We start from the raw sequence: 21,974 nt of genomic DNA on the forward strand, positions 1-21,974 counted from the left end.
TCAGCCTCCCACATAGCTGGGACTATAGGCATACACCACTGCAATTTTTGTTTTTTTAAGTGAAACAGCATTGATCTAAATAAAGCTTTAACATGTTTACAAGTATATTTTATATTGAAGCTATTTTCTAATTCTATTAGACAAAAAAATGCAGTTGAATTGAATAAGATTGCAGAAGACCTTCAAATGTTCATTCTACCATACACATTTTAAAAACACCTGCAAATACAGCAAACAACTGGACAAGTATGTTTCAGAGATAAGCACTACAGTCATCAATTACTTTTTCTGAAACCCATTTACACAGAATTTTAATTTAGAAAGAATTTATATAAAAAAAATGTGTTGTAAGACGGTGTAATTCTTTGGTCTTCTTGGCCTTAATTCTATGAAAATGAACAAGACAGACTATCACTAATCATTTATTAGTCAGGCAAAAATACTAAAGGATAATTTAACAGACACATACCAGTATGAAATTCATTTTACTTATACACCTTAATCAAACTAAGAGCAGGATAGTGACTCAAAATGGATTTCAACGTGTCCTATTTATAAAAATAACAACTGCTAAAATAATCCACTACTAACCAGACAGTTACCATCAATCTGCCCGTCCCAGGTTCTCTCCCCACTGATACTGGCAACACCCACACAGTGAGGGAATAGACGCCCCGAGAAGCAGAGCGTGAGGACTCACTTCCCACCCTCAAGTTCCACACTTCTTTTGGTCCAGTCCTGGAACTCTTGTTTAGTCTAGAAGGAGGATTGTCCCATCACTCCTGGGAATGGTTACTCCAATTTCAGAAGGGGTTGGCCTCAACTAGAAAAGGAAGCTTCTAACGTGAGAAGAAAAGAAGACCTTCTGAGAAAACAGTCCAGGCTTAGCGGTTCCGTGCCCACCATTTGGGGCTCCCTCACCACACGATCTGGGTGACTGACTGCAGACACACCTCTCCTGCCATGAGCAGCACGAACTTGCTGACCTAGTCCTATCACCTGTGTAGCTGGCTCTACCCCGGAGGCTGCCAACACCACCTTTATCTCATGCTCCACATTTTAATATGTCAACATACACAGGGACTGCTGCTTACTTTCCAGACTATAAGAACCTTAGTGTGGCTCACATCTGTAATCCCAGCACTTTCGGAGGCCGAGGTGGGCGGAACACGAGGTCAGGAGATCGAGACCATCCTGGCTAACACGGTGAAACCCCGTCTCTACTAAAAATACAAAACCAAAATTATCCGGGCATGGTGGCGGGTGCCTGTAGTCCCAGCTACTTGGGAGACTGAGACGGGAGAATGGCGTCAACCTGGGAGGCGGAGCTTGCAGCAAGCCGAGATTGCGCCACTGCACTCCAGCCTGGGCGACAGAGCGAGTCTTCATTTCAAAACAAACAAACAAACATTTTAGTGTGGGCTGGGCGCGGTGGCTTACGGCTGTAATCCCAGCACTTTGGGAGACCGAGGCAGGCGGATCACGAGGTCAAAAGATTGAGACCATCCTGACCAACATGGTGAAACCCTGTGTCAACTGAAAATACAAAAATTAGCTGGGCGTGGTGGTGCGCACCTGTAGTCTCAGCTACTCTGGAGGCTGAGGCAGGAGAATTGCTTGAACCCAGGAGGCAGAAGTTGCAGTGAACTGATATCGCGCCACTGCACTCCAGCCTGGGGGACAGAGCGAGACTCCATCTCAAAAACAAAAAACAAAAAACAAAGCCTTAGTGTGTTAGCATATTATAAATATTTTTTCTTTTCTTTTTTTTTTTTTTTTTTTGAGATGGAGTCTTGCTCTGTCACCCAGGCTGCAGTGCAGTGGTGCAATTTTGCCTTCTCCTGGGAGTGGTGCAACCTCCATCTCCTGGGTTTAAGTGATTCTCCTGCCTTAGCTTCCTGAGTAGCTGGGATTTCAGGCGCCCACCCCCATGCCTAACTAATTTTTGTACTTTTTTTGGTAGAGATGGGGTTTCACCATGTTGGCCAGGCTGGTTTTGAACCTCTGACCGCAGGTGATCCGTCCACCTTGGCCTCCCAAAGTGCTGGGATTACAGGCGTGAGCCACCACACCCAGCCAATATTTTCAATTCAAAGTTGAGAAAATGGCCACAGGGAGCTCTAAATAAGTCATTTTTTATATTCTCTGCTTTTAAGTCAAAAGAAGGAACAGAGAAGAGATGCGTGCAGGGTGGGAGCAGAGCACACTGGGGTCAGAATGCCAAGGAGGACTTCCCCATCTGGAACCCACACACAGAGAGCAGCGGAGTGCTGATCGATGGTTACACCCCTCGGCATCTTCCTCTCTGTATTCTATACCCATTATGCGAAGATTTTGTCCACAGAACCACCTTCGTTTACTAAGCAATGCTTGCTGCGGTTTCAAAGGTGCTCAGATCCAGGGCGGTGCAGCGCTTGCCAGAGGCCGCCCTGTTCCAGGATCCGTTCCTCAGCTTCATGCTTAATTTTGTAACCATCAGTCTTCTAGGGACTTGGTGATTCAAGTGAAATAAATCAGTAAGTGATGAGGAAACTGAAATATCAATTAAGTGGTAAAGAGATGGAGGCCAGGTTAGTGAGCACAGACTGAGAAAGGAATGATCTGATCCATGAGTGAGGCGTGGATCCAGCAGAGCCGAGCCCACCCCATCCCACCAGGACAAGTGGCAGGAACCGCAGGGAAAGCTGGAAACACAACAGCTTTCTTAGAAAAGACGTTGGCGCACTTACGTGGGGTGGTCCAGATCTCACACTCATCATCTCAGACAACATTAAGATGGTAAAAAAGCAGTCTCGGGCCGGGCACGGTGGCCCATACCTGTAATCCCAGCACTTTGGGAGGACGAGGCGGGCAGATTACTTGAGGTCAGGAGTTCGAGACCAGTCAGGCCAACATGAAACCTCAGCTAAGATACAAAAATTAGCTGGACGTGGTGGTGCACACCTGTGGTCCCAGCTACTCGAGAGACTGAGGCTTGAGAATGTCTTGAACCTGGGAGGCGGAGGATGCAGTGAGCTGAGATTGTGTCACCGCACTCCAGCCTGGACGACACAGTGAGACTCCGTCAGCACCAATGTGTTACTCCCTTCAGCACTTTCTGTGCTCCCTTTTGTGGGAGGACAGCGACACCAGCATCACTAAAGGAGCTGAATTAAATGCAGTGCTTTTGACTTTGGACTTACATGCAGAGAGAAAGAGGAGAGTTGAGTAACATGCTCAGCCTGTCTCTCCCCAGGATGCCCATCCTCTGCTGAACCTGCCCGCAGGTTTGGGAGCCGCTGAGTGCACTGCAGAGTGAGCGTCAGCTACCACAGTCCCTTCTTGCAGGGTGTTCCTAGTTTAATCCTTATCTGTACTTGTGAAATGGAAGGTTTATGCCTTGCTAGAGAGCTTTTAGGTATAAGGCTTGTCAACTCTAAAATCACACTGCAGAGACCTGCAGTGTGCCTCTCCCCTACTGACCCACACAGGTAGGGGACAGAGTTGGAGGCCCCAAGCACAGAGCCCTGCCTAGGCAAGACACTGCCACTGCTGCTCACTGTGAAGCAACCTGGGGAACCCCCTGCTTCCACCTGTTCTGTCCCATCAGCAGGCGTAGGGGCTGCTGCCATGGTCTGGTTCTGCCCCCCATCACTCCAACTCTGTGCACTGCCTGGCGGTTGTCACCAGTCCAGGGGTCTGACCAGCGTACCCACCTCTGCCTGCTCACCTTCATAGTGCACAGCCCCATTTCTAAGATGATGCTCAGCGAGTGACCGTCTATGGGACCATTCCCAAAGGCACAGGTGCATGGGGAACCCCAAGAAATAGTGCAATAACCTGAAGCTGTTACCAGCCCTAGACCTGGGGTGAGGAACAGTTACAAAACCTGGAAGGAGAGAGTTTCAGGTAGAGCCAGTCCCCTTGGGTGGGGCAGCGACCTTCATTCGAGCAGTCCAGCCAGGTAGCGGCAGCCTCCCAGGATGAGGGAGCTACAGGAGTAACCACCTGCCTCCTCTGGGGGCTCCTCACTGGCTAAGCTCAACAGGACCCCAGAATACGGGAGCCCAGCCGATGTGTCCCACACTCAGCCTCCCTGGTGAGAAAGACAGGTGAGGCAGGGTGAAAATGGGACCTGGGGGCAAACAGGAGCTACCTGCGGCACTCTAAGACTGGGCAGATGGAAGAAAGACAGTTGGGGTTGACGCAGTATCTTCTACAATAACGCCTGAAATAACTTAAACTTTGTTTTCAGAAATTATTATTTGTAATAGCAATAAAAGGCATGAACATGTTTTCCAAAAATAACAACAGTGATATACACAGGTTGAGCATCCCAAATCTGAAAACCTGAAATCTGAAATGCTCCAAAATCCAAATTTTTTTGAGCATCCATACTACACTCAAGGGAAAAGCTCATCAGAGCATTTCAGATTTTGGATTTTTGAATTAGGAATGCTCAACTGGTATGTATGATGCAAATACTCAAAAATCTGAAAAAATACTAAATCTGAAACATTCCCAGTCCCGAGCATTTTGGTTTTTATTTTATATATGTTTGAGATGGAGTCTCGTTCTGTCACCCAGGCTGGAGTGCAGTGGTAGGATCTAGGCTCACTGCAACCTCTGGCTTCTGGGTTCAAGTGATTCTCCTGACTCAGCCTCCCAAGCAGCTGGGATTACAGGCACCCACCACCACGCCTGGCTAATTTTTGTATTTTTAGTAGTGATGGGGTTTCGCCACGTTGGTCAGGCTGGTCTTGAACTCCTGACCTCAGGTGATCTGCCCAGCTTGGCCTCCCAAAGTGCTTACAGGTGTGAGCCACTGTGCCCGGCAGCAGTCCCAAGCATTTTTTTTTTTTTTTTGAGATGGAGTCTCGCTCTGTTGCCCAGGCTGGAGTGCAGTGGACGATCTCGGCTCACTGCAACCTCTATCTCCCGGGTTCAAGCGATTCTCCTGCCTCAGCCTCCCAAGTAGCTGGGATTACAGGCGCACACCACCACCCCTGGCTAAGTTTCATATTTTTGGTAGAGACAGGCTTTCGCTATGTTGGTCAGGCTGGTCTCGAACTTCTGACCTCAGGTGATCCACCTTACCTCCAACTCAGACACCCCCGCTCCAGTGACCAACTCTCTGGTCTCACTGGAGCCGACCAGGAGGTGCCCCGTTCCCACGGCTATGCTGAGCGCCCCAGCCAGCACTCCAACACGGCCTGTCAGGGGAGGTGACGCTGTCTCCAGCTGTGTCTTGAAGGCAGGAAAAGGGATTCCAGGCAGAGGCCTGAGCCCCTCAGATCTGAGGGTATCCTCAGGAGCTCGCAGGGGACATGGGGCAGGGGCTGGCACCCCATGGCGATGGGGGAGCAGCAGCAGGGTGGCAGGGAGGCCATGGGGTCGGTTACGTTGGGCGCTTGGCATGTGCTCTGTACTACTTTATCCTGGAGGTGACCAGAAGCCACACAGGGGCTCACACAGGAGGCTGAAAAAATCAGGGCTGCGTGGACGCTCAGTCAGAGGAGAAAAGAGGCAGAGCAGTCAGTGGACGTCTCTGAGACCCTGCTCCCTCCATCGTGACTCTCCGTCCCATCCCTGCGTGCTCTCCTTCACCTCCGCCCCTCACCAGCTTGCTTCCCGCTCTCTCTCCCCATCTCCACTTGACCTTGTGGTGGTTCACTCCACTCCACTGCCTTTCTTTCAGAGCAAACAGCTCGCAGTGATGATCTGTGGCCCTAAGCCCACTTTGCCAGGACCGCTCCAGTTCAGCACCATGGAATGGGACTCCACCTGGGCCTTCTGAGTCCCCATCACCAGCAACCACCTGGCACTAATCACAATGGCTTTTCTGCAAACTCCTTGCCGACCACTGATCACTTGGCACTGGGCTCTCAGCCCCAGTCTCCTCACCTTTACACTGGAACAAAAGAGCCTCAAAGGGGCCATGTGGATCCAGAGGGAACCTCGAGAGAGGAGCCGTGTGGATCTAGAGGGAACCTCGAGAGAGGAGCCGTATGGATCCAGAGGGAACCTCGAGAGAGGAGCCGTGTGGATCCAGAGGGAACCCCGAGACAGAAGCCGTGTGGATCCAGAGGGAACCTCGAGACAGAAGCCGTGTGGATCCAGAGGGAACCCCCAGAGAGGAGCTGTGCAGATCCAGAGAGAACCCCGAGAAAGGAGCTGTTTTTTGTTCCTGCATTAGTTTGCTAAAGACAATGGCTTCCAGCTCCACCCATGTTCCTGGAAAGGGCATGATCTCATTCTTTTTTATGCCTATATAGTATTCCATGGTGTATATGTACCACATTTTCTTTATCCAATCCACCACTGATGGGCATTTAGTTTGATTCCATGTCTTTGCTATTGTGAATAGTGCTGCAATGGACATACACATGCATGTGCCTTTATGGTAGAACAATTTATATTCCTTTGGGTATCCACCCGGTAATGGGATTGCTAGGTCAAATGGCAGGATTAAAGACTTAAATGTAAAATTGAAAATTATAATAACCTGGAAGATGACCTAGGAAATACCATTCTGGACATACAAATGGGCACAGATTTCGTGATGAAGATGCCAAAAGCAATTGCAACAAAGGCAAAAATTGACAAGTGGGATCTAAGTAAACTTAAGAGCTTCTGCACGGCAAAATAAACTATCAACAGAGTGAAGAGACAACCTACAGAATGGGAGAAAATATTTACAAAGGATGCATCCAACAAAGGTCCAATATCCAGGATCAATAAGGAACTTAAACAAATTGACAAGAAAAAATCAAACAACCCAATTAAAAAGTGGGCAAAGGACATGAATGGACATTTTTCAAAAGAAGACATACACATGGCTAACAAGAATATGAAAAAAAGCTCAACACTACTGCTCATTAGAGAAATGCAAATCAAAACCCTTGATTCTCTAATGATGTTGCTGCACCTTCAACACCACTGGGAACTCTGCCTGCTGCAAGCCAAATGCCCTGGTCTACCATTTGCACACCGGCAGTATAAACACAAAGCATGATTAGAGCCTCTGTGTACAGAAGAGAGTAACTGCTCACCCACACCAGCTCCTGTAGTTGTGGGGCCCTGACTTAGTCAATTACTGACGTCCTCCTTGGCAAGCAAATTTTGCCACTGGTCAGAGGGTTCATTTTAACAGTGCTGTGGGTGGTGGGGGCGTGAAGCAAAGGCGGAATGCATGTGTGCCTTGGAGGGTGCAGTGGCTTCTCCTCAGGGTGGGCTTTTGGAGCTGCTGTCCAGCTACCACCAGAGAGAGGCTCTGCTTGGCCAGGCAGGCAACGAGGGCGGGAGGAAGCAGGTGCACATGCATGCACACATGCACATATGCACACAGGCACACACACACATGCACACACACTCATACACCTGATACCAAGTTAAACCCCTCTCTCTTTTATCACGACCACTGACTATTATATTTTAAAACACATATTCAAGGGAAAATAGTGGATAGGAAGCAGGACTGGAATGCAGCTCCCACTCAGACGGACAGAGCAGCGTGTGGCAACTTGCATCATGAACCTGTCTTCCAGAACTACTGCAGGAATAGGCCAGGAAAGCTGAGAGAATCCACAGACCCTTGAAGAAGGCAGATTGCTTCTGCAGGACCCAGGAGACACACCAAACACTGCCCCGTGGCAGGCTGGTCCCCGCCCTGCAGGAGTGTTTGGACTGTGCAGTGTGATAAGCACTGTGGGTGAAGTACTGCAAAGTGCTAAAGGAACATACACAGGAGGAGCCAGAGGAGCCTTCACGGCCAAGGGGATGTGAGCTGGATCCTGAAAGAAGAAGTGTTTGAGAGAGAAGAGAAGAAGAAACATTCTAGGAAGACGTAATAGCATATACAAAGACAGAGGTCCCAAAGAACATGGCATGTTTGAAAAATGATGTAGCCGTATCTTAGCCTGAAACAGCTGGAGTCTAGCACTCATGGGATATGGCTGGAGATGCGACAGGAAAGTTACTCAGGACCAGATCGCCAAGGGCCTTTAGAAACGCACACTACTAGGCCGGGCGCGGGGGCTCACGCCTCAAATCCCAGCACTTTGGGAGGCCGAGGTTGGCAGATCGCCTGAGGTCAAGAGTACAAGACCAGCCTGACCAACGTGGAGAAACCCTGTCTCTACTAAAAGAATACAAAATTAGCCGGGCTTGGTGGTGGGTGCCTGTAATCCAAGCTATTTGGGGAGGCTGAGGTAGGAGAATCACTTGAACCTGGAGGCGGAGGTTGCAGTGAGCCAAGATCACGCTGTTGCACTCCAGTCTGGCAACAAGAGCAAGGGAAGGAGCGAGGGAAGGAGGGAGGGAGGGAAAGAGGGAGGGGGGGAGGGAGGGAGGGAGAGAGGGAGGGCACATTGCTTCGTGTAGCACCAAGGCGTCACTAGACCCGGGATTCACCTGCAAATAATCCGAGTGTGGGGAAGTGGGTGAGGGTGTTGATGAAACAAGGCTGTCTCAGGAATTGATGCATTGAAGGTGGATGGTGGCTATTTGGAATGCATTGAACCATTCTCTCTACCATTTCATATGTTTGGAAATTTTCATAATACAATTTTGAAACAAAAAATATCATCATCTTATGCAAGGACATTCTTTGTTGTTACATAATATTAGAATACTTTTATTATTGTTGTTAATAGCATTGTTGAGTTTTTTTAAAATAATCATGTTAACAGAAAAAAACCCCCATATTCATTAATCACAGGTCATAGTAACATATTCAAAACTTGTCTTAAAGACTAAGTGTATAAGAATGAAATGCATTTTAAAACAAAATTTACACTGTCCCAAACTTCACTTAAAAACTCCCCAAACCGAAAAAAACCCTGACTCCTTATTCACAATTTTAACTTAATATGCTGAATTTCATTATAATTCCACAAAAAATTATCAGTGTTAAAATGTATCTTTTATACTTTATTCTGCATTTAGAAATACAAGTTTACTATATTTATATAGTGTTTTCTCTTTTTAGAAAACTGTTAAAAAATATCTGAGTAAGAAATAAGCAAAGAAGAGGAATGTGACAGTCAAAAGTATATGGAAGAGAAAAAATTAAACTCATAAGTTGGCTGGGTGCGGTGGCTCATGGCTGTAATCCTAGTACTTTGAGAGGCAAAGATGGGAGAATCGCTTGAGCTCAGGAGTTCAAGACCAGCCTAGGCAACACAGTAAAACCTCATCTCTATTTAAAAAAATAAGGTCGGGCGTGGTGGCTCATGCCTGTAATTCCAACACTTTGGGAGGCCGAGGCAGGCAGATCACTTGAGGTCAGGAGTTCGAGATCAGCCTGGCCAACATGGCGAAACCCCATCTCTACTAAAAGTACAAAAATTAGCCGGGCATGGTGGTGGGTGCCTGTAATCCCAGCTACTCAGGAGCCTGAGGCAGGAGAATCGCTTGAACCGAGGAGGCGGAGGCTGCAGTCAGCCGAGATCATGCCACTGCACTCTAGCCTGGGCAATAAGAGCAAGACTCCGTCTCAAAATAAAATAAAATAAAATAAAATAGGCCGGGTGTGGTGGTGGCTCATGCCTGTAATCCCAGCACTTTGGGAGGCCGAAGCAGGTGGGTCATTTGAGGTCGGGAGTTTGAAACCAGCCTGGTCAACATGGTGAAACCCCGTCTCTACTAAAAATACAAAAATCAGCCAGGCATGGTGGTGGGCACCTGTAATCCCAGCTACTTGGGAGGCTGAGGCAGGAGAATTGCTTGAACCTAGGAGGCGGGGTTTGCAGTGAGCTGAGATCGCACCATTGCACTCTAGCCTGGACGACAGAGAGAGATTCCGTCTCAAAAAATAAAATAAAATAAAAACCCCTAAGTTTTTCTAAAGTGCCTAGAAACATGAACAGAAACAAAGGCAAATCTTAAACATAATTTTACAGGATTTACAATTATAAGGTGGCAGAATAAATGAAGTCTGTTACTTTTTTTCCCCTTTCCATGCTTTTTGCATTTGGTTTTGTGTGTGGGGGCAAATGTGTACACGGGCGAGAAAATGCACACACTCTTCTAAATAAGGGGGCAGTAAAAGAGTTATTAGGAAAGAAGAAAAAGCACAGGCAGGATCAAGGCAGAGTTTGCCCAATTAGTTCAAAGTGAGTTGCAATCGATGCCTAAGGAAAGTCACGGACAAAGCAATGACCTTGAAATTGTATGTGGCTCCTGTCAGAATTTTAAAATGGTTTTGCATAGAATTCTAGGAACTATTAATACATAATTAAAGCATCTACCACAGCCAATGATTCCTTTCTCAGGGAAGAAAACCCAGTGATGAAGCTGGAGAACGGTGATGGCCAAGGAGAGCTCACAGGGATGAAGCAGCAAGCACCAGCCAGGCCAGAAGAGTGAGACCCACCTTGGCAGGTACAGTGGAGCATCCATAATCCAAAAACGTAAAATCCCAAATGCTCCAAAATGCAAAACTTTCCGAGTGCCAACACAATGCCATAAGTTACCCTGAACACATCGGTTTTTCACTGTATTTATCAGTAGCATAGAAATACAGAGTCAGGAACGATGGTGATGCCAGACTGTCCACAAGGGTGGCTGAGACAGTGGCACCTTTGCTTTCTGATGGTTCAATCTGTACAAACTTTGTTTCATGCACAAAGTTATTAAAAAATTGTATAAAATAACTTCAGACTATGTATATAAGGTATATATGAAACATGAATTTCGTGTTTAAAATTGAGTCCTCATCCCCAAGATATCTCATTATGTATATGCAAATATTCCAAAATCTGAAAAAAATCAGAAAACCGGCTAGACGCGGTGGCTCATGCCTGTGAAATCCTAGCACTTTGGAGGGGCCGAGGTGGGAGGATCACCTGAGGTCAGGAGTTCAAGACCAGCCTGGCCAACATGGCGAAACCCCATCTCTACTAAAAATACAAAAATTAGCTGGGCATGGTGGCGCATGCCTGTAATCCCAGCTACTCGGGAGGCTGAGGCAGGAGAATCACTTGAATCCAGGAGGCAGAGGTTGCAGTGAGCCGAGATCGCGCCACTGTACTCTAGCCTGGGTGACAGAGCGAGACTCCGTCTCAAAAATAAAAAATAAAAATAAAAATAAAAATAAATAAATAAATCAGAAAACCTAAACATTTCCAGTTCCACGCATTTGGGAGACTCAACCTGCACCAGGAATTATACAGCTGCTGCCCCCGCTGGCTGTCATGAGGTATACTTTTAGCTACTTAAAGAAGTTTCCTCATATCCCTGGTTTATTAACGATTTTTAAAAAGGAACATATGTTGAATTTTATTAATTGCTATTTCAGTATCTACTGAGATGACTACCAGTTTCTCTCCTTTATCAACAACATTAATTCCTTAGGCAATTTCTTCTTTTTCTTTCTCTCTCTCATTCTTTCTTTCTTTCTTTAGAGATAGGATCACATTATGTTGCCCAGACTGGCCTCAAACTCCTGGGCTCAAGAGATCCTCCTACCATGGCCTCCCAAGAAGCTGGGACTAGATTTCTCAATAGATGGCTTTGTTTTTTTGTTTTGTTTTTTTTTTGAGATAAGGTCTCACTCTGTTGCCCAGGCTAGAGTGCAGTGGCATGATCACTGCTCACTGCAACCTCAAATGGCCAGGCTCAAGCAATCCTCCTGTCTCAGCCTCCTGAGTGGCTGGGACTACAGGCATCCGCTACCATACCTGGCTAATTTTTTTTATTGTTTGTAGAGATGGGAGTCTCGCTATGTTGTCCAGGCTGGTCTTGAACTCCTGGCTTCAAGTGATCCTTCCACCTTGGCCTCCCAAAGTGTTGGGATTACAGGTGTTAGCCACCACATCCAGCTCCTTAATAGATTAAAAAAATTTTTTTTTAATTAAAAAAATTAAAGATGGGGTTTTGTCATGTTGCCCAGGTTGGTCTCGAACTCCTGGGCTCAAGTGATTCACCCACCTTGGCTTCCCAAAGGCCTGGGATTACCCGATCCACCCATCTTGACTTCCCAAAGGGCTGGGATTACCTGAGCCGCCCACCTTGGCCTCCCAAAGGCCTGGGATTACCGGCAAGAGCTACCTTGCCCAGCCTAGATTTCTTAATCAACAGAAGAATACTTGCATTTCTAAGATAAACCTTACTTGACCACAATATATTCGGCTTTTAATCCTGCATAGCTAGTGTTTGTTTAGGAGCTTTGGCCACATTTTAAATGTAAGACTGATCGCTTGTTTTCTTCTTTGTGTGCTATCTTCCTCTGGCTTTGATTTCAAGATCAAGCTAGCCTTACGGAAGGAGCTGGGAAGTGCTCCATATTTTCCTATGTTCTAAAATAATTTAAATAAGGCATTAACTGTTCCTGAAAAGTTTTACAGAATTCATCCATAAACAGGCTGAATAGAATGGTATGCTCTTCTGTAGCAGAAGAGGAATAAGACCTTTCATTATCTTATTTAAAAAATAGCTTTGTTGGGGCTGGGTGCAATAGCTCACGCCTGTAATCTCAGCACTTCGGGAGGCTGATGTGGAAGGATGGCTTGAGCCTAGGAGTTGCAGACCAACCTGGGTGACAGAGTGAGACCCTGTCACAAAACAAAACAAAACAAAACAAAAAACCAACAAAAATAGTTTGAGATATAATTCACATTCACAGGTTCGCCAATTTAAAGTGTACCATCTCTGTTGCCCAGGCTGGAGTGCAGTGGTGTGATCCTGGCTCTCTGCCACCTCCACCTCCCAGGCTCAAGCAATCCTCCTATCTCAGCCTCCCAAGTAGTTGGGACCACAGGCGTGCACCACCACACCCGGATAGTTTTTGTATTTTTTTTGTTGAGATGGGGTTTCGCCATGGTGCCCAGGCTGGTCTTGAACTGCTGGGCTCAAGGGATCCTCCCACTTCAGTCTCCCGAAGTGCTGGGATTACAGGCGTGAACCACCATGCCCGGCCGGTGTGCTTTGATCAACGTTACTTTTAAAGATCTCTGCATTTATAGTTAAGAAGCTTCTCTTCTTTCTAAAGCTTTGCATTTTCTCCCATTTTTTCCTGAACAGACTTGACAAAGGTTTATCCACTTTACTGACTTATCCAAGAACTAAGTTTTTGTTTTTATTAAGCATGACTACCTTTGTAGTTGATTTCACTGATCTATGTCATTTCAGTAGACTTTAGGAGGGAAGAGAGGTAAGTGAATATATTCAGCAAACCGCTGAGTCACAAGAGTGGCAGAGCAATTTGGTGAATTCATTCTGATGAATTCAAGATGGGCACTTCATCCAAGTCCCCGCAAGTGTCCTGAAGTTTGAGACTCTGACAAAAGGCTATCCTAACTCACAATGAAACACTGGAGTTTCGCAGAGATTACACATACGTCCATAAATGTGTGCACCTCTTTGGGGTTTTGCAATATAATGGATCTTTCTGTTGTGCGTCCTCTGACAGTTTCTACTATGGCGTGCCATTGTTTTTACACTGTGTGACAGCACTGACAAGAATTACTACTGCAAATCAAAACACAAAAAAACCATTGGCAGAGCCATTACAATAAGTCACCAATAGAAGATGTCAGGTAGCAAGCCAGTGTTCACCAATGGGGACTACTCAAGGTACTCCCAGTTCAAATGGGAGGCAATGGAGAAGACAGAAGCATCTAGACCAACCCTAGGTCAGAATTGTTACTGCCTTTCTTGTGAGCTTGAACAAATTGATACCCTTGAGCCTGAATTTCTTCATTTGTAAAATGGTGACACACCATCTTTCCTGAGAGCATTTCTCAGGAACAGGGATAAGCACAAACATCCAATCGCAAAAGCTGCCAACTATATGTGGCATACATACCTGTGTCCACATGGGGCAAAGTCTGACAGTGCAGAAGAACAGAATCGCTGGAATCACTTTAAATTTTTGCTCGGTTTCTTCTTGTCTTCCTAGTCATCATCGCAGTTACTGCTGATGGAGACTGTACTACATCCCAGGCCCTCTAATGCAGCGGTCCCCATACTACATCCCAGGCCCTCTAATGCAGTGGTCCCCAACCTTTTTGGGAGGGACCAGTTTCATGGAAGACAATTTTTCCATGGATGGGGGAGCAGGGGGATGGTTTCAGCATGAAATTGTTCCACCTCAGATCATTTGGCATGAGTTAGAGTCTCATAAGGAAGGCTGGGCACGGTGGCTCACGCCTGTAATCCCAGCACTTTGGGAGGCTGAGGCAGGCAGATCACGAGGTCAGGAGTTTGAGACCAGCCTGGCCAACATGGTAAAACCCCGTCTCTACAAAAATACAAAAATTGGTTGGGCATGGTGGCAAGTGTCTGTAATCCCAGTTACTTGAGAGGCTGAGGCAGGAGAATCGCTGGAACCTGGGAGGTGGAGCTTGCAGTGAGCCGAGATTGCGCCACTGCACTCCAGCCTGGGCAACAGAGCAAGACTCTGTCTCAAAAAAAAAAAAAAAAAAAAAAAAAAAAGCTCATAAAGAGTGTGCAACCTAGATCCCTTGCTTGTGCAGTTCACAATAGGGTTCGCGCTCCTATGAGAATCTAATGCTGCTGTTGATCTGATAGGAGGCGGAGCTCGGGAGGTAATGCTCGCTCGCCTGCTGCTCACCTGCCGTGTGGGCCGATTCCTAACAGTAGTGGTCTGTGGCTAGGGGGTTGGGGACCCCTGCTCTAGTGGATATCATGCCCATGTTATTTAATCCACATATAATCCTCCTGGCTAGGTACTATTATTATTTCCAAGTTACATATGAAGAAACCAAAGCTTTAAGAAACTTACTAAAGTTCTCACAGTTATTAAGTAGAAGAAATGAGACTCTAAGGTGAATCTGACTCATGCTCTTAATTGCTATGGCTCTAATTACACATGCATTAAAAAAAGGGGGGTTACATCGTATGTATGTATAAGCTTCAAAGCTAGAGAAGTCAACGTGAAGACTGAGAGCCAAGGAAAGAGGGTAAATAAGCGTCTTACAATGCGCATGTGTGTACTGGGGAGGAGGTCTTGACGGAACAATGAAACATTCCACTTCCAAGAAAATGTGGAAAATGATTCATAAAATAACAACTTATTGCTAGCAACTTCCTGTCAGTTACAAATGACCAAAGTACAACCTAAAATAAAATGAATCAGTTAGCATGATGTTCAGAAACCTCATTGATGTTATATAAATTCAGATACATGGGAAACAGCTCCAAGTGGGACAGAAGGCAGCGTGTGTGTGTGTGTGTGTGTGTGTGTGTGTACATATATATATATTTTTTTTTTCAGATAAGGTCTTGCTCTGTTGCCCCAGCTAGAATGCAGTGATGCCCTCATGGTTCAGCACAGCCTCAACCTCCTGGACTCAGGAGGCATGGGACTCACCTCCCATGTCTGGCTAATTTTCTGTATTATTTATTTATTTTTATAGAGAGAGGGTTTCGCCATGTTGCCCAGGCCGATCTCGAACTCCTGGACTCAAATGATCCATCCACCTTGGCCTCCCAAAGTGCTGGGATTACGGGGTGAGCCACAGCACCCGGCCGTGGCAGCATATTAAACAGATTAAAAAGTGACTAAAATTTAGCCAAAAGGTTCCCAGACTAGTTCCCTTCCCCCAAAATCGCTCTTCCCTTTTCATATCAGAGATGAACCTGGCTCTGTTCCCCCTAACCTTAGCACAAGTGTAATCACGGCCATGAAAGGAAGGTGTCAAGGCGATTTCCTCGGATGCCAGATTCCGCAGGCGAGCCATCCCACTCTACCCACTTGCTACTGCCTTCAGTTATTCAACTGCAAACGTCACAAGCCCTGATGTCACCCACCGTCGGGTGGAGAAGCCTTTCACACCTCCAGGGTTCACTCAGTCATTTCACTTCCTCCGTTGCTCCGCCCTCACTGCTCTTTGATTAGCGCACCATCAACATGGCAAATGCAATTCCTCTCATTTCTCCAATGCCTCAAATAGAAATGCCTTATGTCTTTGTAAGAAATAACATTGACCACCTGAAGTATGGCAAGCCTAGGTGCCACAGTAAAAGCATAAGCTCCAAAATACATACGTTCATTTGTGTGACAAATGTTTACTGAAAACCAAGTTTCACTCATCCCAGTGGCCTCAAGACCTGGCAAATATTAAGATTTCAGTCTCCATCCTCACAGAGCTTACAATGTAATGGCAAATAAATGGGAGGGGCTACTGGGAAACACAAAGAAGTGCGTCCCCCTAACAGCACCTATCAATTGTGAGGGATCATGAGATAGCATGGGAAGTCTTCATCGGGGCTTCTGGGAAGGCTTCCCTGAGGAAGCGACATCTAACCTGAGACTTGGAGAAAACGAGCAGGTGGCCAAAGGAGAGGAAGGAATGATTCAAGGAGCAGGAGCTGTCTGTGTAAAGTCTGGCAGGCCTGGAGGAGCAAGGCAGTTTGAGGAAGCTGATGAAGGCCAGAGTAGCTGGAGGGAAATGCAGGGAGGAAAGAGGCACCAGGTGAGGCTGGGGAGGGAGGAGAAGGGGGCAAGGAGGGCGTGCCGGGAAGTGCGGACTCCTACAGGCAAAGGAAAAGTACCGGAGGCTTTAGAAATGAAAGCGATGGGATTAGAAATATGTTTGAAGGAAATATCTCCAACAGCAGCATGGCAAATTAATTGGAGGGGGCAGAGCAGGTGCTGGGAGAGCTTGGCTGCTGGAACGGTCCATAGGAAGATGACACTGGCCGGGAGTGAGGGAGAGAGGTGAACAAGCCGGAAGCAGCAGCAAGGAGCTGTTCTCTTGGACCTGGAGTCAAGCAGCTTTCCTGTTAAAACAGCTGGGAGGATGCGGGCATTTATGGAATCAGGCTGGTTAAAAAGAAAGAAAACAAACCGAAGAAGGAAGGGGAAGGAAGGAGATGGGCACAGAGAGATCAGTGTCAGGGGAATCTGAGCCGTGGAGGAGGGCACGACCTCCAGGCTGAAGGCACAGGATGAGATGTAGGCCTCAGACAGGGCAGCGAGAAGCCCATATCCAGTGCTCCAGGAGGGAGGGGAATCGTATGGGATGTGAGTTATATCACAGGGGTCCGAAGCATGGGTAAGGACTCAGCACAGCTGGCTGTGGGGTTGGAGCTGAACAGCTGTAGGGCCAAGAGGCCATTCTTCAACACATCCACCAGGAAGCAGAGAAAGTTCTGAGATGGGAGGTCACATGGCCCTAGAGCAATGGCCAGAGGTGCTCAATGCCCTGGGCCCTGATGACTTTCCAGCTGGTTCCAGTTACTTGCGAAGACTGGTGACGAGTCCCACTTACCAATACCCCCGAATCCTCCCAGCATTGTCCTCTGCTTAAACTAGTCAGGGATCTTCCGGTGACAAAACCTCTATCTACTCCAAGACAACAACCCTACCTCACCAAGTCGGAGACACCACCAAATGTGAAGTCACGTCCTGACTTCAGAGATACTGAAATGTGTACCTAGACCCTACAGAATAGGGCAATATGTTACATATGGCGCCAGCTCCAGAGGAACAACTTTAATTACAGGGATTTCATACAATTGTAACTACTCATAATCCAGAAACAATAAGTCTCTTATCTACGAGGAGTGTGTGAACTCAGCAGGGAAGGGTAGAGTTTGGAAAGCAGATAATCACCCGAGCCTTCTCGTGCCCTAAGTAATGATCGACAAGTACCAGACTGTGCCCACACACCTGCCACTTTGATATCTCCACCAGCAGAGGTCAGTGCCCCGCAGTAGAGTCAAGAAACCTGCAAGTTGACGCTTGGCTGTGAGAGTCAAGGGACAAGGGAATAATTCAATAGATGACCACAAATACACAGGGAGGCAATTCTCCCTTAAGCAAGTTCCAGCAGCTTCTAAGCCTTGTTTTCATTATACTCCCCTCCCTGAGTCTTTTTTATACATTCTCCCCCAACTGTCCTACCCCCACGACATTTTAATAGCACAGATATACTGTGTATTTGTTCATGTGCCGTGGCCCTTTGGGTGGCCAAAATCCACTGTAACAGCTGCAATTTTTTTGTCTCCCAACAAGAACCGATCTTCACTTACTCAGGGTGTTACTCACTCCAGTTGAGAATGAATGAGTTTTGAGTGAACACACATTTTTGTTTTGTTTATTTGTAAAGAGTGATTATTGGTTGCTTTGGGGTCTGATTTTTAAGCGAGAGAGAAAAAGCAAAAGATCACCAAGTGCCGGCCCCCTGGTTTTATAGAGAAAACTCTTAACGACAGCAATAACAACAAAACAAAGCCCGGAGAGGCCTCACGGGTTGTCCAAGGAAATACAGGCCCTTCATCACAGATCTGGGCCTGAATCCCGAGATGCCTCACTGAAAGACAATGCTTTCTTTCCCTCCTACGAAAAGTGGCCCCTACTTTTACCTATTTTGATCACTGTAGGTGAGGCTGACCAGTTTTGCTAGAAACAAGCAAGATTGGCTGGGTGCAGTGGCTCACACCTATAATCCCAGCACTTTGGGAGGCCGAGGCAGGCAGATCGCTTGAGGCCAGGAGTTCGAGACCAGCCTGGGCACCATGGTGAAACCCCATCTCTACTAAAAATACAAAAATTAGCCAGGCATGCTGGTGCATGCCTGTAATCCTAGCTACTCAGGAGGCTGAGGCATGAGAATTACTTGAGCCTGGGAGGCAGAGGTTGCCGTGAACCGAGATTGTACCACTGCACTCCAGCCTGGGCAACAGAGCGAGACAAAAATAAAAAGAGAGAAAAATAAAGCAAGATTGAGGCACGTTCTGGAAAGAAGATTCTATTTCGTTGTTGTCATTTTGTTTTTGTTTTTTGGAGACATGAAATTACTCCAGGCTGAAGTACAGTGGTGCAACCACATGCGCTCGGGTGATCCTCCCACCTCAGCCTCCCAAGTAGCCGGAACCACAGGCGTGCACCACCATGCCTAGCTAATTTTTAAAATTTTTTATAAAGACGGGGTCTCACCATGTTTCCCAGGCTGGTCTTGAACTCCTGGCCTTAAGCAATCTTCCTGCCTCTGCCTCCCAAAGTGCTGGGATTACAATGGTGAGCCGCCACGCCCGGCCTGGATTCTACTTTGGAAAATCTTTGCAAGTGAAGAAGAATAGGACAGAATGGCTGAACTGGGATGAAATAAGCGGCAAATGAGGAGGAAGAGGAGAGACAGTCAGTCTGGCAAGACACTCTCTGCTAAGAAGCGGGTAAAATCACCACAGCAAGTTATCAAAAACTTGAAAGAGCCCAGCTCCTCCGGCAGCTGGGAGAGAATGCGGACCGCTCTAAAGAGGCTGCAGACTTCATGAAGTGGTACCAGAGTAGAGCAGGTTTATTAATCACGGATAAAACTGCTGAATAATTACCTACTTCAAAAAGCATTCATGAGTTGTGTTTAGGTGCTTACAAAGTACTTTGTGCTTGGTCCTGGCCAGTAAGTTAGTTCAAGGCAGTTAATATAGATAAACACAAACACAGCAAAGACGTGGTCGGTGTAACAATTACAAATGTAAAAAGCAAACACAGAAAGGGATTGCTGGCTGGGCACCGTGGTTCATGCCTGTAGGTCCCAGTAGTTAGGGAGACTGCAGCCGGCAGATCACTTGAGCCCAGGAGTTTGAGACCAGCTTGGCCATCATAGTGAAACCCCATCTCTACTAAAGTACAAAAATTAGCCAGGCATGGTGGCATGCGCCTGTAGTCCCAGCTACTTGGGAGGCGGAAGCACCACTTGAGCCCAGGAGGTTGAGGCTGCAGTGAGCTGAGATCGCATCACTGTACTTCACCCCAGGTAAGAGTGAGACCCTGAGGGAGGGAGGGAGGGAAAAATTGCTATGGGCAAGGCTTCTCATACACAAAATCATTTCCTCCCCCAATATGCCCACAAAGTAACTACAAACACTTAATGAAATCATTGAGATCCAAAGCACTGCTGAGAACTTGCTATGTGCCAGCTGTGGTAGCAGGCACGGGGGAGAGAAAGGTGAATGCCAGAGAAGTACAGAGGGTATTCAGAGAAGGCCTCGGAGACCAGATGAGACTTGAGCTGAGCCTTGAAGTCTTACTAAGATCGGTGTGGCATGGAAAGCATGCAGCCCTCATCACGTGCCACCCCCTAAGGCACAGGCACAGTGAGGGAGACACAGAGCAGGGGGCTGGCACACTATGCCTGAGGGCCAAATCTGGGTTTTGGTAAAGAAGTTTTACTGGAGCCGAGCCCCGCCCCTTGGATTGTGTTAGCTGCTTTCTGCTTTCTTGCTACAAGGGCAAATTGAGTGGTTGTGACAGAAACTGAGACCATAACACCCGCAAAGGCTAAAATATTTACTATCTGACCCTTTACAGAAAAAGTTGGCCGGCCCATGTCCTGTTATTCCAAGAGGGGTCTGTGAACCGGCAGCAGGAGCGGCCCCTGTGCTAGGCAAGTCCCACCCCAGACCTAGAGAACTGGAATCTGCCTTTCAAAAAGATCTGTGGCTATTCTTATGCACAGAGAGGGAGGGGCACTGAGCCTGCGGAGTAAGAGAAGTCTGCACCTGTCGGATATACGGACAGAGGAACGTGGTCAAGACCTTCCCATAGAGGAGTGAGGCCATCAAACCCACCCGTACCATGTCCCTCTTGTCGTGGTAAGAAGGGTTGACAGCAGAAAAGGGATGGCAGCTCCTGTCATAACCCAGGCCAAAGACGACCCAACTAGGCAGGGTAGAACTCAATCTTTCTTCCTAACCTCACCAGTGCTTCCAAGATGTTTCTAACAAATATAGTATCAGTTATAACTTATTAGGAAATAGAAAAATCTTGGTAATGAAAATATGAGTAATCATGTGTTTCCACGTACAGCGAATATATCTCGGTTGAAGCAATGCCTCTAGACATCAATGCATACATGAAGACGTTAACAGGGTATGCTGGATGCTGAAAGATGAAATGAGGATCTCGTCAAGGGCTCCCTATTATGTAGGATATTTAGAGGTGTAATGTCTTACTGCTGGGACTTTTGTCCCTGCTAAATAAGTGTGAGATTCTGCTTGATATTCAATTTTCCTGTATTTTGGATGAATAAGCAATTTAAAGTTCAAAAGAAACAAAGCTGCATTTGGACTACCACGCCAACACTGTTCTTTCTTCCAGCTCAGCTCAGCCTCAAAGTCACTGTTTAACATTCTGCCTCCTTAAGAATCTAGAAAAGTTTGACAGGGTTATTCGTGGGATTCGGTGTGCTTTAAAGGAATGACAGCAATATAGATAAAAATAGATGGGTGAAGAGGGGAAATTCCTCTCTTAGACACTTAGGTTTAATACTTTACATTCATTACATTGGCAGACACAATGAAAAGAAAAAAAAGAGTGTATATCTGCTTAGAGAAATGCATAATTAAATTAATAAATCTCAAGTAAGAAGAAGAAAAGGGACAGGACACCAAATCTGTGTTGAGAAGAATCTCTGTGTTGGGTTTCATTAATAAAAATCTTAAAAAGCTCATGAATTCAGTACAATGCTTAATGGCACTTAAGCGATAATAGTAACTAACATTTATGAAGTACTCACTATGGGTTTACACTGTTTTTAAATGCCATGATACGGATTGGCTCATTTAATCCTCAAAACACCTGATATTAGCTCTATTTTAGAAATGAGAAAACCAAGGCACAGAGAGGTTAAGTAACTTGTCCAAGGTCACACAGCTAAATAAGTAGTAGCGATTCCTCTCGAACAGAAGCTGCTCTCTAGTTCTTCTTGCCTCCCTGCTAATTTGCAAAAATTGTAACTGTAAAAGACTCTCATTCTTACTAATATAAGAGACAAAACCCTGGTGATTTAGACATTCAAAGTCTTATGGAACGGGCACACCATTCCACCCTGTGGACAGCGGCCAAGATTTGGCCTGCAATATAATAAAACTGAGGAATAGTGAGATGGGTTCGAATGAAGACCCTGGATTATTTTTCTGTAGGATGAAATGCAAATTAAGTCCGGTAAAATTCTGAAATGCACCATTTGTTACCAATAAATACAGACAAACACTTTTAATGACAATGACTATGAACGCGTTCT

At 46.4% G+C, this 21,974-nt stretch overlaps 1 protein-coding gene across 33 annotated transcripts in view; it reads right to left on the bottom strand.

Annotated features, from left to right (window-relative positions):
• Positions 1-21,974, bottom strand: part of PRKAG2 (protein kinase AMP-activated non-catalytic subunit gamma 2) — a 320,989-nt gene that overhangs the window by 52,850 nt on the left and 246,165 nt on the right. The gene's annotated exons all lie outside the window — the stretch shown is intronic.

The sequence above is a fragment of the Homo sapiens genome, chromosome 7 (genome assembly GCF_000001405.40).
Source record: "Homo sapiens chromosome 7, GRCh38.p14 Primary Assembly".
Classification (NCBI taxonomy): Eukaryota; Metazoa; Chordata; class Mammalia; order Primates; family Hominidae; genus Homo; species Homo sapiens.